The 14,841-nt window shown below is 38.4% G+C and overlaps 1 protein-coding gene across 79 annotated transcripts in view; it reads left to right on the top strand.

Moving 5' to 3' along the window:
- MEF2C (myocyte enhancer factor 2C) overlaps nucleotides 1-14,841 on the top strand; it is a 186,989-nt gene that overhangs the window by 131,704 nt on the left and 40,444 nt on the right. For 56 of the 79 annotated variants that reach the window (XM_011543396.4, XM_047417190.1, XM_047417181.1 and 53 more), the window contains one exon: nucleotides 11,074-11,217. The exons of 7 other annotated variants lie outside the window; for them this stretch is intronic. In XM_011543396.4, coding sequence (XP_011541698.1) covers nucleotides 11,074-11,217 — 144 coding nt within the window. Of the gene's footprint in view, nucleotides 1-11,073; nucleotides 11,218-11,276; nucleotides 11,415-14,841 lie in introns of all 79 variants that reach the window. 16 more of the 79 variants (XM_017009478.3, XM_047417202.1, XM_047417203.1 and 13 more) reach the window with 3 other exon arrangements.

The raw sequence follows: 14,841 nt of genomic DNA, 5'->3' as shown, positions 1-14,841 counted from the left end.
AAGCCTGGCTGTCAACTGAACGTAAATTCCACCACTTTAGGTTGGGAGACAAGGAATTAAAGGAAACAGCTCAATCTTTATCTTGGGAGTTCCTGACTGTCTCAGAAATGAGGAATTTGATATCTTAAGTTCTCAGGTATGATTAAAATAGTCATGACATAAGTCAATCAGTTGCCAACCTCAAGACTTTATTTTGCAATGCCTTATGGAAAGTTCTGTGTATACTCTGCTTTTCTGATAAGCTGGTAATAAACTGGAGATCCCAACTGACAGATATTCTGTAAAGTACATCAAGGGTAATGCCTTGTTTCGGAGGGGAGACGTAGAAATAGAGAAGAGAATGCACAAAGGTGTCTATTGCAGTAAGTTTTGTTCTCAACATGTTTGTGTCTTCCTGGCAGTAACAGAGCAGCAGCAGCCACAGATGGCTTGGAAGCCCATCATGCCCCAGACTCTGAGCAGGTCTAAACACAGAGAAATCCCACCATTTGTGAACCAGTTACAATAGTCTGTGTCACCTCCTCCATTCCCTCAGCTCCCACAGGGATGTCCTGTGCCGCAATCTTGAAGTCATTCCAGATATTGCTTTAACCTACCAGAACTTGTACTCCTTACATTTTGAGGTAATAATCTTATTAAAACAAATAAATAGTACTGTCACTCTACAAGACCACCCAACTCATTTGAATTAGTGTCTGTCACTGTTAGAAAGTATGACTGTCAAGTTTGTTTGCTTATTCATTTATCCAGTGAACCATAACTGAGAATCTTGGTTGAGTCCACACATATTACCCAAGCCCTGTGTTAGGGACCAGAGATGCCCATTTTTCACAGAACTCACTACCTGGTGGTGAAGCAGACATGTTAAAAAATAAATTACAGTATAACATACCACATATAAAAAAGAGGTCAAGGACTGTACAGGTACAGAAAAGGGAGTTCCTGAGTGCCTTCTACAAGCGTTAGGAAAAAGCTTCACCAAGTAAGTGAGGGCATTAGGTAATAGGGTGTCCTAGGACAATTAAGGTTTGTGTAACTGAGAGGAGGAGTAAATAAGGATATTCTAGGAAGGATGGAATGGCGTATATCAAAGCAGTGTTTCTAAAGGATTGAGCTGACTTGCCAAATGACATGAAATTTCCCCCTTGGCCAAAACCCAGCGATATAGTTTGGCTGTATCCTGACCCAAATCTCACCTTGAATTGTTACAGTCCCCACATGTCATGGGAGGGACCCAGTGGGAAGTAATTAAATCTTGGGGATGGATCATTCCCATGCTGGTCTCATGATAGTGAATAAGTCTTATGAGATGTGATGGTTTTATAAATGGGGGTTCCCCCGCACAAGCTCTCTTGCCTGCCGCCATGTAGGACATGCCTTTGCTTCTCCTCTGCCTTCTGCCATGATTCTGAGGCCTCCCCAGCCATGTGAAACTGTGAAGCCATTAAACCTATTTTTCTTTATAAATTACTCAGTCTTGGTATGTCTTTATTAGCAGTGTGAGAACAAGCTAATACACACAGTAGGCTGGAGAAAAGAGGAAATGAGCCTAGAGGCAGGTGGAGGGTTTTCAAGGAGAACAGCCATCCAATTAGATGTGCATTTTAATTAGACCCTGCCAGAAGTATGAAGGAAGATTGACTGGAAGGTGGGAGTCCAAAAACAAACAGACAAAACACAGAAGACCAAATAGAAAGAATAACGATAGGTGAGTCAAGAAATTACGGAATCAAGGGTGATTTCTGAGTTTTCAGCTTGAACAAGTACATTGTGACATTTGCTAGGAAGGGAAAGATGGGAGAGAAATGGATGAAGGGGTAGGCTGGAATCCAGAAAATAAATGGGAAAAGAAATGATATAGTAGAAGAGATCGTGGGAAATCCTGTAGAAATGAGGAAATGTGGTGACTCAAAAGATAGCTCAGAAGTGACTGGTGAATGCAAAGATGTAGGATATAAGCTACTCGCATTTCAAATGACTAATCACGCATAGACTCAAATTGAATAAAAAGGCATTTACAACTAGGAAATAAAAATAATGATTTGACTTATTTTGATGACCCAGGATAACATCTACATCTTTTGTTAAAATAAGTCATTAATGGTTTATGAAAGATGCTCCAACATGTTATTTGTAAAGCATCAGTGCCTCAAGATACAGCCTTTTTGTCCCTGTAACCAACCCATTTGCAAGTAAAATGCCATAGTCTAAAATGTTTAGTATGTGAAGTTACAATTATTATACATTTTATACTTTCAAAAAACCTGTTCTCTGATCTTATATTAATTTACTCCTTTCCTCTCTCAACCTTTGTTTAATTTATAGTTCTGTCTTGTCTTTTCCTTCCTCATTTAAGAAATCACTAACATTGCCCATTCTTCAAAACAACCTACAACTTGATTCTTTGCATTCCAGCCTTTCTTTTCTTAACTTGCATTATAAAGATTATTAGGATAGGCTGGACACAGTGGCCCATGCCCATAATCCTAGCACTTTAGGAGGCTTAGGTGGGTGGATTACATGAGGTCAAGAGTTCAAGACCAGCCTGGACAACATTGTGAGACCCCATCTCTACCAAAAACTACAAAAATTAGCCAGACTTGATGGCACACACCTGTAATTCCAGCTACTTGGGAGACTGAAGTGGGAAGATCACTTGAACCCAGGAGGCAGAGGTTGCAGTGAGCTGAGATCATGCCGCTGCACTCCAGCCTGGGTGACAGAGCAAGACTCTGTCTAACAACAACAACAACTATAGCTATAGATATAGATATATAGGATTAACTGCATATCCTATCATGCATTTCAATTATTATATATTAAATGTTCTCTCTTTAGTATTTCACTTCACATCTCTGCTGGATTGAGGATCTCAGGGAGTGTTTTACAGCTAACGTGTGCCAGACTTCCCCATCTCAGTCCCATTCTAGGCCAACTCATGATGCATGCCCTGTCCGGGTTCCAATAGAGGTTTGGCGGAAGAATCCTTACAAACACCAAATCCTTGATCTGTCCTGAGGAAGCCTGAATCATCTGATTGGCCCCAGAATCACCCTGATTTTCCATGAATTCCCTCAGGCAAATGTTGGCCCAGAATAAGACCAATGTAAAAGCCCAGGAGAATAGTGGAGCAGTAGACTAGCATCCAAGAATGGGGGAAAATGATGAACTTTGCCCAAGAATTTGAAAGCATGCTTAATTCAGATTTATAGTATCTGACTCACATTCACAAATTTCCCTGTGCTCTTTCCTACAAAGGTTTTGTTTTTCCTTTGCTAACCTTTACCTTCTGCCTAAAATATCACTCCCTTTTTTCTCTTTCCATGCTGAAAATTCTGTGCCCTCTTTCAGCTACACTTTTGATCACTGAGATTATATGCTTATGACTTTCTGGCATTAAAAGATTTCACTGACTGCTCAGTTTTTCTGAGGGTGTCTATTTAGACTAGTACCCCTAAATTTTAAGCGTTCAATAATGTAAAATTTGTGAGTTATAATGTTTCATACATAGTACAAATCACACCTACATTGCACTGCTTTCTAACTTAAAAACTGTACATTTCAAAAAGTAGTAAATTTGGGAGTTATTAAGAGGGAATAAAAACATTGAGTTTTAACGTAGTGTGAAATGGTAGTAATAAATGGAAAAAAAAGAGATTGCAGTTGCAAAATACTGCACTGAGACTAATCTTCCTCCCTCTAACATTTGAACATTCTTTTCTGTTCTGTTCATCTATTCATTTCAGTTTGTCATGAATGCTGCAAATATCTAGTAAGTTCCGACCACTTGCCAGGCCTTGTGCTAAGTTCTGGTGATACGAGATGACAAATAAACTATTCCTAACCTCTAGTAGCTCATAGTAGCAGGAAGAAAAACACATACATAAACAAATCATCTTTATCAAATGTCCAGAAAAATCATCTTAGCATCCAGAGGACCACTGGCAGCACCTGACATATAGTAGCAGTTAGTAAATATGTATCAAGGGGTCTGGACCCTACTACAGCCTTTGCCTCCAGCCAGCCAGACAGCCTTGGTCAAGTCAAGAAACCTCCACATACATTAACATTGAAGTGGAAATGTGTGTTCCATTCATTCATCTAGCATTTATTGAGCAACTACAGTAGGTCAGACTGCTCTCTGGTGAAACTCCAAAGTGAATAAAGCAAAGTGCTTTGTTAAGGACCTCTCAATCTAGCAGAGGGGAAAAAGCACATAAAGGATCAATAATGTATGATTAAGACTATAGTGGGAAAATGTGTAGAATAAAATGAGTGCCTGAATGAAGGAGAAACTGATTCAGCCTGAGCGATCAGAAAGTCTAAAGAGAGGAGACAATGTGTCAGCTGCTCTTTGAAGGAGGAACAGATATTGGTGGGCTCATTCCTGAAGGAGAGCCCAGCTTGAGAAGGGATGCAGAAGGAAAGGCATGCAGCGTTTGCACCATTATTCCTCACCCACTGTGGGCATGAGGAAGGGCCGGATGATGCTTGGCGGTCTCATCCAGACTAGAGTATCAATAATTAGCACCATTTGAATGTTTATGTCAAATAATTTGTGGCCCTTAAGACAGAGTTGGTGGATGTTTCCTTGTGTTCAATACATGAAAAGGCTTTCAAATCTTTAATTAGTGTGTCTTTTATTTCCATTATTTGAAGATGAAAATGATTCAGTCAAAAAAATTTCAGCTCCAATATTAAGATTATCTTTTGAGGAAGCATATAAAAATAAAAACAATGACAATATCCAACCCCATCCACCCCTTCCCCAGTAGAAGTTGATATCTGGCTAGAATGAGCATTAATAAATAACCTAGAGAAATACAGTATTGTACAGTTTTATATTTTCAACTTTTTATTAAAATTTTTACCACAAGTGAATAATTTTTGTTAAAATCTAACTTTTTGTACTCTGTATTGGATATGATTTGCTTGCCTAATTAAAGTCTACCTGCTGATTATACTAGATTTAATATATTAATGTGTCTTCATTTCTAGAATAAGAACAAAGAAAAGGGACTATGGTACTACAGGGAGAGATAGTATAGACAATGCTTACAGTTTTATTAAAACCTGTGGAGAAATTTCTTGGCATCTAATCTTCCCTCAGCCTAAGGCAAAAACCATACAATGTTATAAGTCAGGTCAGAGCTTTTTAGTTTTAAATTTGGCTGCTTTCCTAACACATAAGCGTACAAAACAGTATCTGGCACATGGTAGGTTTTCAATAATTGTTTGCCGAATAAATTTTAAATGAAGTAAGGCACTGGGCACAGTCCTCAAAGCACCTCTCTGTAGATACTAAAGGGTCAGGAAACAGCAGCAGCGTGAGTACCAGCACACCAATATGGAAACACTTTCAGGAAATATTCTTAGAAACTCAATTTATAGGCAGTATTCATTTCAACTGCACTTCCTATTCCTACATGAATTTACTACTTTCTAAAGATTATTCAGCTTGTTAAGAGTAGATACTTATCTTCATAAAGCTGTGAACGACAAGCAAAAAAATGATTCAGGATCAGAGGAAAGGAAACTACCTTTTCTAAGTTGATGCTTTTTTTTCTTGGTTTTTGTGTGAACATGACATTGATGCAACTAATAGTAATAATTCCTGCATGTGTTCTTGACACATCAACCCTCTGAAGTAAAGATCACACTACCTATGCAACAAAGTGTGATTACTTGGATTTTTAACAAAGGTTAATAGGAGTAATTTGGGGGTTTCTCCAGGTTTCTCTGCATGTAGAATGGGCAGGCACAGGAAAAGGATGATGATGAAAATATACATTCTTGAGGACTGAGACTGCAGACATGTAAAGAAATTGAGTGGTTGAAAGCTTTTAGTCTGTGATGGTGGTTCTCTGAAAAAAAGCTGAATTTTACTTAAATAGCATTAATATAAAAATACAGCTTCATATAATCGAAAAAGGTCAATAATTTACTTATTTCTTTTTACTAACGAGATAATTTTTGAAAGAATAAAAGGAAAAAATTTTTTAAATAACAAAATAGTATTTAAGAAGGGAAAAATCAGTTTTAATCACTGCATAAGAAAAGGATTTTCTAGTTGATAACGTAATGCCTAAAACAAGAAATGAGAGCTCCATGTAGCATTCTTTTTCATTTATATTCCTTTCAGTAACGAAATAGAATCTGTTCCCCTAATGAAATTCTATTTCATTAGAATTTTTGAAGCACCTGTCACCTATCATCATCAGTTTGTACGTATTTCAAGTTTTTCCGATGAGCAAATGGAATAATGCAGGGTCCATATGTCCACATGTCTGGGAGGAAAGATTCCACGTGGTTTTTGGATTACCTGTCTGGACTCTTTCTCCCATTTATTGCTTGGAATATGTCACCTTCTGTCAATCTAATTACTCCTCTAGGAAACGGCTGTTCTCAGCTCACAGTATGACAATCGCTGTCTTGTGAAAATATCCCAGAAGCCTCTGTAGTTGATGGATCTACCTCAACAGTGTCACTCTGACGTGGAAAGCTGACTTCAGTATACAGGCTTGCTCAAGATTTACTTGAGTTCTCTGAGGAAAGAGTTTCTTCAGATACGTAAGGAGAGAAGCTGGTGGTTTTAGGAGATCTCTTGCCTTATCTTGACATACATGAATAAATCTTTTCAAAACGTAGTCAGTCAGCTGAGAGACAGTATATACATTTAGGACTTCCAGCCCCTGTAAAAGAATGACAATTGAAGTACCTACATTACCTGACCAGTGACACTTGTAAAAGATCAGAGAAGCTTTCAAAGGCCAACAGCAGAGATTTTGATTTTGCTAGAAAAGGGCCCGAAGGAATAATGCTTATTTATCCATTTAGTCAGCCCTTTCGTTCATATCGACTATTCATTACTGTGATAAAGACAGACTTGGCTGAATCTAACAGAAATTCTTTTGTTATCATTAAACAGCTGTAGATTTTTAATATAATAAAGATAAAACTGCTCTTATAGTTCCACATTCACACTATGATATTCAAGTTTGTGCCATCACTTCCATTTTCAGAGCTTTATAATTCCACCATAATCATTTGTTCTTGGCAGAAATGTGTTATACAAGCACTCAGCTGAGGATAATATTTTTGAACATTTTTTTCAATGTTCTTTCTGGTTATGTGATTATGGGAATTTGGAACTCAATATTAATTTGCTCTTCAGCTTTGTGTTTGTATATCTCAAAATGCTCTTTTTTAAATAACACAATTTAACTTGAATCATTACTTAGATTCGGGTGATATTCATAGCAAGATAATGCAGTCAGATACAAGAAGAATGTATTGGGAGAAAATGAGCCACATTTTTCCTTCTCATCACTGCCATTTCCTTTGTGACTCCATGCCACCTGCCTTGTTTGTTTAATAGTTTATATAATTCTTCAGGTACAAAGTGAGCCACTGACCTAATTGGTTTTTTTCATTCATAAACTGATGTGTTTTATTGACCAATATGCATTCCAACTCTTGACTAAAATTTGACATCTAAGAAAATCAATATTTTAGCTCTATTTTCATACTTGAAATTTTCCCTCAGCCTAATTTTTTAAAATTTCTACTTCTTTTTTTTTTTTTTTTTTTTTTTGAGATGGAGTCTCACTCTGTTGCCCAGGCTGAAGTGCAGTGGTGTGATCTCGGCTCACTGCAATCTCTGGCTCCCGGGTTCAAGTGATTTTCCTGTGTCAGCCTCCCAAGTAGCTGCAATTACAGGCGTGCGCCACCATGCCTGGCTTATTTTTTGTATTTTTGGTAGAGACAGGTTTCACCATGCTGGCCAGGCTTGGCTCAAACTCCTGACCTCGTGATCGGCCTGCCTCGGCCTCCCAAAGTGCTGGGATTACAGGCGAGAGCCACCACGCCTGGACAATTTCTACTTCATTTATTTCAGCGTCCAGTGTCCTAACTATAGTTACATATGAGTGAGAGAGATCTAGTCTGCACTCATCACTTCACACGGGTGGGAAAACGGGCAGGGGAAAGTCAGGCCCCACACTGTCTCCAGGCAGGAGGCAAATACTCGTTGACTGACCTTGGACCATCATGCTTGGCCATATGGGTTTGAGACCTGGCATAGGTTTACCTAATCTCTTCATGGAAGACTTGTGAGAGATAATGGGTTAATATTTGTGGAGATCTTTCAACAAAGTGTAATTGATGTTTGAATTTTTATAAACCAAACACAATATCTACCCCCTGAAAGCTTTGTGAGAATATTTAGCACACATGTATGTGCCAGATGGATTGTAATGACAGTTGATAGGCCTCTCCTCACCCTTGCATTCTGTTGTCAGAAATCTGCATATCAAAACAACTATAATTTTTACAATAAGATTTATTGGTTAAAAGATTTGGGTGCACACTGAAAAATCTACTGCCTGGATAAGACTATAAATTAACATTATGGAAGGCTTTAAATTAAAGGTTTATATAAGAAAATTATTGGCAGGGTGCCATGGCTCATGCCTGTAATCCCAGCATTTTGGGAAGCTGAGGCAGGAGCATCCCTTGAGTCTAGGAGTTCAAGAGCAGCCTGGACAACATAATGAGACCCTGATTCTACAAAAATAATTTTTAACCAGGTGTGGTGGCACACACCTGTAGTACCAACTGCCCAGGAGGCTGAGTTGGAAGGATTGTCTGGGCCTACAATGTGGAGGCTGCAGTAAGCTATGACCACGCCACACTGCATTCCAGCCTGGGCAACAGAGCAAGACTCTGACTCAAAAAAAAAAAAAAGAAAGAAAGAATATTTTTAACATGTCTTATAGATAACTTTTGAAAAATATCAAATAATATTTTCTTGATCTGACATATTTTTCTCTATACAAATGAATTCTAATGAAAAATATGTGGAATATAATGCAAAAACAATCAGAAAGTATTCTTAAAAGCTCAAAGATATGCAGAGATCAAAGCAGAAACACATCATAATACAATAGTTATCAGCCAGAAGAATGTTTTTGTGGTTGAGATAATAAGAAAAGAGTATGAAGCACAGGAAGTTAAGTTAGTAAATAAAATTATTATTCTAATGTATTGTGATGTTCTTTATAGTATTACTGTAGAAAGTCTCTAAAAGTACTTGTTATGAGTGAAAAATGATGCCTGTAGATCCAAGATAAGGGGACAGGTGGCCCCACCAATTATAAATTCCCCAAGATTGTAAATGTATATTTTATCATGCTGTGTCAAAATATTCATTTTAATATTCAAACATTTTACCACATAATAAGCTGTAACCATATGTTTATTTGTTATATTATACCACTATAACATTAATAAATATTTACAGAGCCACTGTGTATCCCAGATATATTAGAAATCATAGCTTTCTTGATTTTTTATTTTAAGTGAAAATATTCAGTGCCTCAGAAACTAATTTTAAATAATGTTACATTTGTTACACATTGATAAGAGCCAAGGAGTTTAGATTTTTAAGACTGACACCCCCCTTTTTAACTCATGTTGTTTTATTTATTTTCCCCAATTGCATGAATTAAAGATGGGGTGTTATCTCAGCTTTGAATTCCTTAGCTTGATGTCACAGCTTTTGCTTTATTTGTATGTGAATTCTGTCTTTAATAAAGATGAGCTCTGCTGAACTTTCCATTAATGAGAGACACTTAGGTATGCATCTCTTTATAACGGATCTTGGTGGTACCAGGAAAATTCAGAAATGTTGCTAGTCTATTAATAATTAACATGACAAACTATGATTAATCAGAAGTTTTATGATCTCTAAAAACATAACATTATCTCTGTAAATCGAATTGTATACAATTAAGTTGACAACCGTTAGTAAAAAAAAATAATAATAATAAAGCAGGCCAGGTTGTGGTGGCTCAGCCTGTAATCCCAGCACTTTGGGAGGCTGAGGCAGGCAGATCACATGAGGCAAGGAATTTGAGACCAACCTGGCCAACATGGAGAAACCCATTCCCTACTAAATATACAGAAATTAGCTGGGCATGGTGATGTACCCAGCCACTCAGGAGGCTGAGGCAGGAGAATCACTTGAACCCAGAAGGCAGAGGTTGTAGTGAGCCAAGATCACTCCACTATACTCCAGCCTGGGCGACAGAGCAAAATCCTGTCTCAAATTTAAAAAACCAAGTAAAACTCAAGACTCCTAACTTATACTTTTTCTGTTACAATGTTACATTAGTATTTATTCTTCTGTGACAGCTGAGACTAGACCAGACCCACATCCAGGAGACAGGAGGTTCAAGATGAGGCACTGACTTTTTACTTTCATGTGTCAGTCTCAGGGTGATTCCTACTCAGCTGAAAAACTAGGAGGAACCCTTGCTAGTTTGGTAGTTATTGACTTGGTTACCTGTTTTCAGTGTTCTTCGTCTTCCTTACTCAGCTCAGCTGTTTTCACTTTTCTTTCCACCTGTGTTTAGGAAGAGACCTTCTCAGTATTATAAATTTTGATAAGATTTTCACATATATAGAACCCTAACAAACAAAAGTAGTTCTCCATATAAGCACAGCGTCTGAGCATTCTTCACCGATGCTTGGTGGGGATATTAGCTGTGTTCTCTTACACCCTTTAGCTGTCAAGTACATCAGAAGTGGAGGCTGTGGGGACAGGACACCACTAATGCCAACCATTAGTTTAAATTCACACTTGGATCTGTTTCCAACATTTCTGCTTTTGTCATCATCACAGGTTCGGAAATCATTGTGTAATGTCCTGATTTCTGATTTTTCTGTGGGAAGAGAGTGTTGCAATTTGCCACCTTAATTGTATTCTGCTGTAATTGTCTCTCACTAGATATTTGAAGCACGTAAGAATTCTGTATCATGAAACTTGAGTCCTTATACCCTCTGTTCATTGACTGAATTTAGTTGCAAGAGGAATCTTTCGCTTTTATTTTTTTAAACTGCTGATGAGCACTCGATTGAAATGACTCAGCTTTCATCTGTGGTTTCTCTTCCCTAATAGAATAAAGCATATGTAATAACCTGAAATACTGGACAGCTTGAACTTCTTTAATGCCCCTGAATGTCTCTTACAGCCTTTGTCTAGGTTTGAACTTTCCAAATTATGTATTTCAGACGTTGAGAAAGAAGGGCCTTAATGGCTGTGACAGCCCAGACCCCGATGCGGACGATTCCGTAGGTCACAGCCCTGAGTCTGAGGACAAGTACAGGAAAATTAACGAAGATATTGATCTAATGATCAGCAGGCAAAGATTGTGTGTAAGTACTCAGAACACCCTTCATTTTTTTTACTCTTGATATTTCTCTGAACCTGGCAGGCATTGAACAAGAAAGAAAACAAAGGCTGTGAAAGCCCCGATCCCGACTCCTCTTATGCACTCACCCCACGCACTGAAGAAAAATACAAAAAAATTAATGAAGAATTTGATAATATGATCAAGAGTCATAAAATTCCTGTAAGTACCAAAGGTAGATGGCTGGTCTGCTGATAACTGCTGCAGTAACATACCTTAACCCTCTCAGTGATGGCTTTCTCTAAGACTCTTCGGAAAGTCAAACAGATAAATAGCCATCTCATCCCACGGGCAGCTCATTTAGAAAGCAAACCCTAAAGGATGCTGAGATTATGTAATCTAACAGAGTTGCCATCGAAAAGTTCATTCTGAGGTAGAACAGTTCACAGCAGGAAGAGAAAGATTTATGAGACACACCGTAAATTTACACAATCTTTTAAACACACAGTCCATGCAAATCACAATACATGAGTAAAACACTGGAACCTCCTTCCAAGCAAGTTTGAGAATTGCTATAAAATACATAGATTATACATTGTTTGCTAAGAGCAGATACTCAAGTGGGTCAGCAATTCTTTCATGTAAACTGACAATCATCACCTAAATAAAAGCTGATTTCTGAATAAAACTTCAGCCCCTCTCCCTATACATGAAATTCAACAACAGCACTGAAGGGTTAAAGCTAATGCTCGCTGCAGGGAACAGACTGCATGAAACCTAATGGTAAGATTTCAACATGTTTGTGTGCTGGGGTGATTTTAAAGCTTTATCAGAATATTATCCGCTTTGCCACCAACATTTTCCATGCTTTAACATTTGGCTAATTTTTGTTTTAACCAAATGAAAAAAATTCTAACAGTCAATCATATGCCTTGCCAGATATTTAAGAGAAATAACTGCATGTATTATTTTGTTGTCCACATATATAGGAGGAAAGTACATACTTTTTATTAGATTCTGTCATCAATCAAATAATGTTAATTTTGTGGCTGAAAGGGGTGAAACCCAAGGCTCACATACCTTCTAAATAACTAATGTTAGTGTCTGAACCTTAATTGTATACAAGCTCCTCAGTAGGCAATCAGTTCCTTTTGAAAAAAGTTCATTTTTTGTAAGTTAGCAAAACAGCCTAAACCTGAGAAATGAGAGAGACTGAAGTGAAAATATGTTTTGGTGATTACAAGTGCAGATATGTGGGGACAAAGTTCGAGGCCAAATTCACAACTGCACTCACAAGATAAATTAATACTTTACCATAGTAGCTGCACACTCAAACCTGAATTGAATTAAATTGAACACTTTAAAACTTATTTACAAAATGTGTGCATATTAAAATTTCTATCCTTATAAATACCTATCTGCTTCTTTTGTTAAATGAAATGTCAGCAGTAGAACTTTTGTTGAATCAGAATTATTAATACACTGTATCATGAAGGAAAGCTAAGTGCTATAAATTCTTAAGGGTTTCATAAAACTATTATATGCACACATTCATAGTGGGCACTTTATGAAATGGAGTATTTAGTATTATATGTAGCCATGCATACTTGTTATGTCCAGAATTATTAAATAATAAAATATCCATTGGTATTTTATTTTGCCTAGAAGAAAAAAAGAAGCGGCTCATTTGGGCCAATTTTTATTTTTATTTATCTATTTTTATTTTTGAGACGGAGTTTCACTCTTGTTGCCCAGGCTGGAGTGCAATGGCACGATCTCCACTCACCGCAACCTCTGCTTCCCGGGTTCAAGCAATTCTCCTGCCTCAGCCTCCCGAATAGCTAGGATTACAAGCATGTGCCACCACTCCCGGCTAATTTTGTATTTTTAGTAGAGATGGAATTTCTCCATGTTGGTCAGGCTGGTCTCAAACTCCTGACCTTAGGTGATCCACCCGCCTGGGCCTCCCAAGGTGCTGGGATTACAGGCGTGAGCCACTGCGCCACGCCATTTGGGCCAATTTTTAGTTCTTATGATCTGAGTTTATCTTGCTATATAATACATTGGTGTGGAGCAGCTGTGCATTAAGGTTTGTAAGTGTAGGATGTTAAGGCGGAGTACCTTAGGTGTGTCAGATAGTAAGAATCCCCTGCACAGTTGGAATAAAGACAGATGTATGCAGTACTGCTGATCACTCAATGGAAGCGATCATATAGGTGGAGTTTTAACCCCTAAAGTTCTGGAAGAATGCACATTGGATCTTGTTTCTCATACTTTAGGGAGAGAGACATGTAATACACACCTGTATTCCCTCACAGGATTTCAGCCTGTTACGTAAAGAGTTCAAGATCAAGATACGTGATTTCTTAAGGGGTGCAGTGGTGTGTGGTAGGGGCTGAAAAACCACATTAGAGTTTACGGGCAGAGCTGTGAGAAGGAGCCACCCAGCTCCGAGCTATGCCACAGAGTCTCCATCTCTTTAGTAAGTGCTTCAGTCTTCACGATGAAAAGCCCAGTTTTTGCACATCGCTCTGAGTTGCTGGAAGTCAATTTTGTTGAAAGTTTCCACAGCTGCTAAAACATTTACAGCAGGGCAAGGACACTCTGCCCTTTGTATGTAGAGAGTGTCTCCACCTCTTTAAAAACATTACAAGACTGTTTTTCTATTTCGAAGACCCAGTTTGAAGAGTTTCCCTTTTAAAACAGAAAATTTAATATTGCAGTCACCTGTTAGTATATTGTAATTTATGCCCATATTCCTCAATTACATAAAATAATTCATGGGTGATTTGGAACTGTGTCGAGCAGCATTTCCTCATGCTGGGTTCGCCATGGTTCATGCTGGGCTTCACAGCAAGAGAAAACACCTCCGTCTGAGGAACCAGCAGAAGTTAGGAAAGGGGCTGAATGAATGAGAGGCGGGTGCAAGTTGGTTGAGAGTAAAAGGGAAGGGAGGAAGTGGAAAGAAACAGTATGTATTTTCTTCAAAATAATGGGCTGTGAAGAGAGAGAAATAATGTTGTATGTAGGATCAAGGGAGGAGTTAAAATGAAAGCGCTTGAGATTATTTACATGCAGAGGAGAAGTGCTTGGAGGAAGGAAAAGATTGAACATACAGGTACAATGGAGATAGAATGGCAAAGCCTCTCAAGGAAGGGAAGGAGGATGGGACCTAAACAAGAAGGTGTTACAGATGGAGCCAGGTGTAGCTAAGGTGGTAGCTGGGTAGAATTACGCTGAGTAGGTGACCATATAATGACCTCTATTTTATTTTATTTTTATTTTTTATTTTTTGAGACGGGGTCTCACCCCGTGCCTCAGGATGGAGTGCAACGGCGTGATCCTGGCTCCCCTCAACCTCCGCCTCCCATGTTCAAGTGATTCTCCTGCCTTAGCCTCCCAAGTAGCTGGGACTACAGGTGCCTGCCACCAGGTCTGGCTAGTTTTTGTATTTTTAGTAGAGATGGAGTTTCACCATGTTGGCCAGGCTGTTCTGGAACTCCTGACCTCAAGTGATCCGCCCGTCTCGGCCTCCCAAAGTGCTGGTATCACAGGTGTGAGCCTCCATGCCTGGCTATTTTGTTTTTTAATGTATTTAGTTTAGCTTCTGTAGTTAATTAGGGAAGGGGGAAGCAGGTGATTGAAAAAG

Source organism: Homo sapiens, chromosome 5 (genome assembly GCF_000001405.40).
Source record: "Homo sapiens chromosome 5, GRCh38.p14 Primary Assembly".
NCBI lineage: Eukaryota > Metazoa > Chordata > Mammalia > Primates > Hominidae > Homo > Homo sapiens.
Note: the sequence above shows the minus strand (reverse complement) of the source record. Positions and strands in the feature narration are given on the sequence as shown.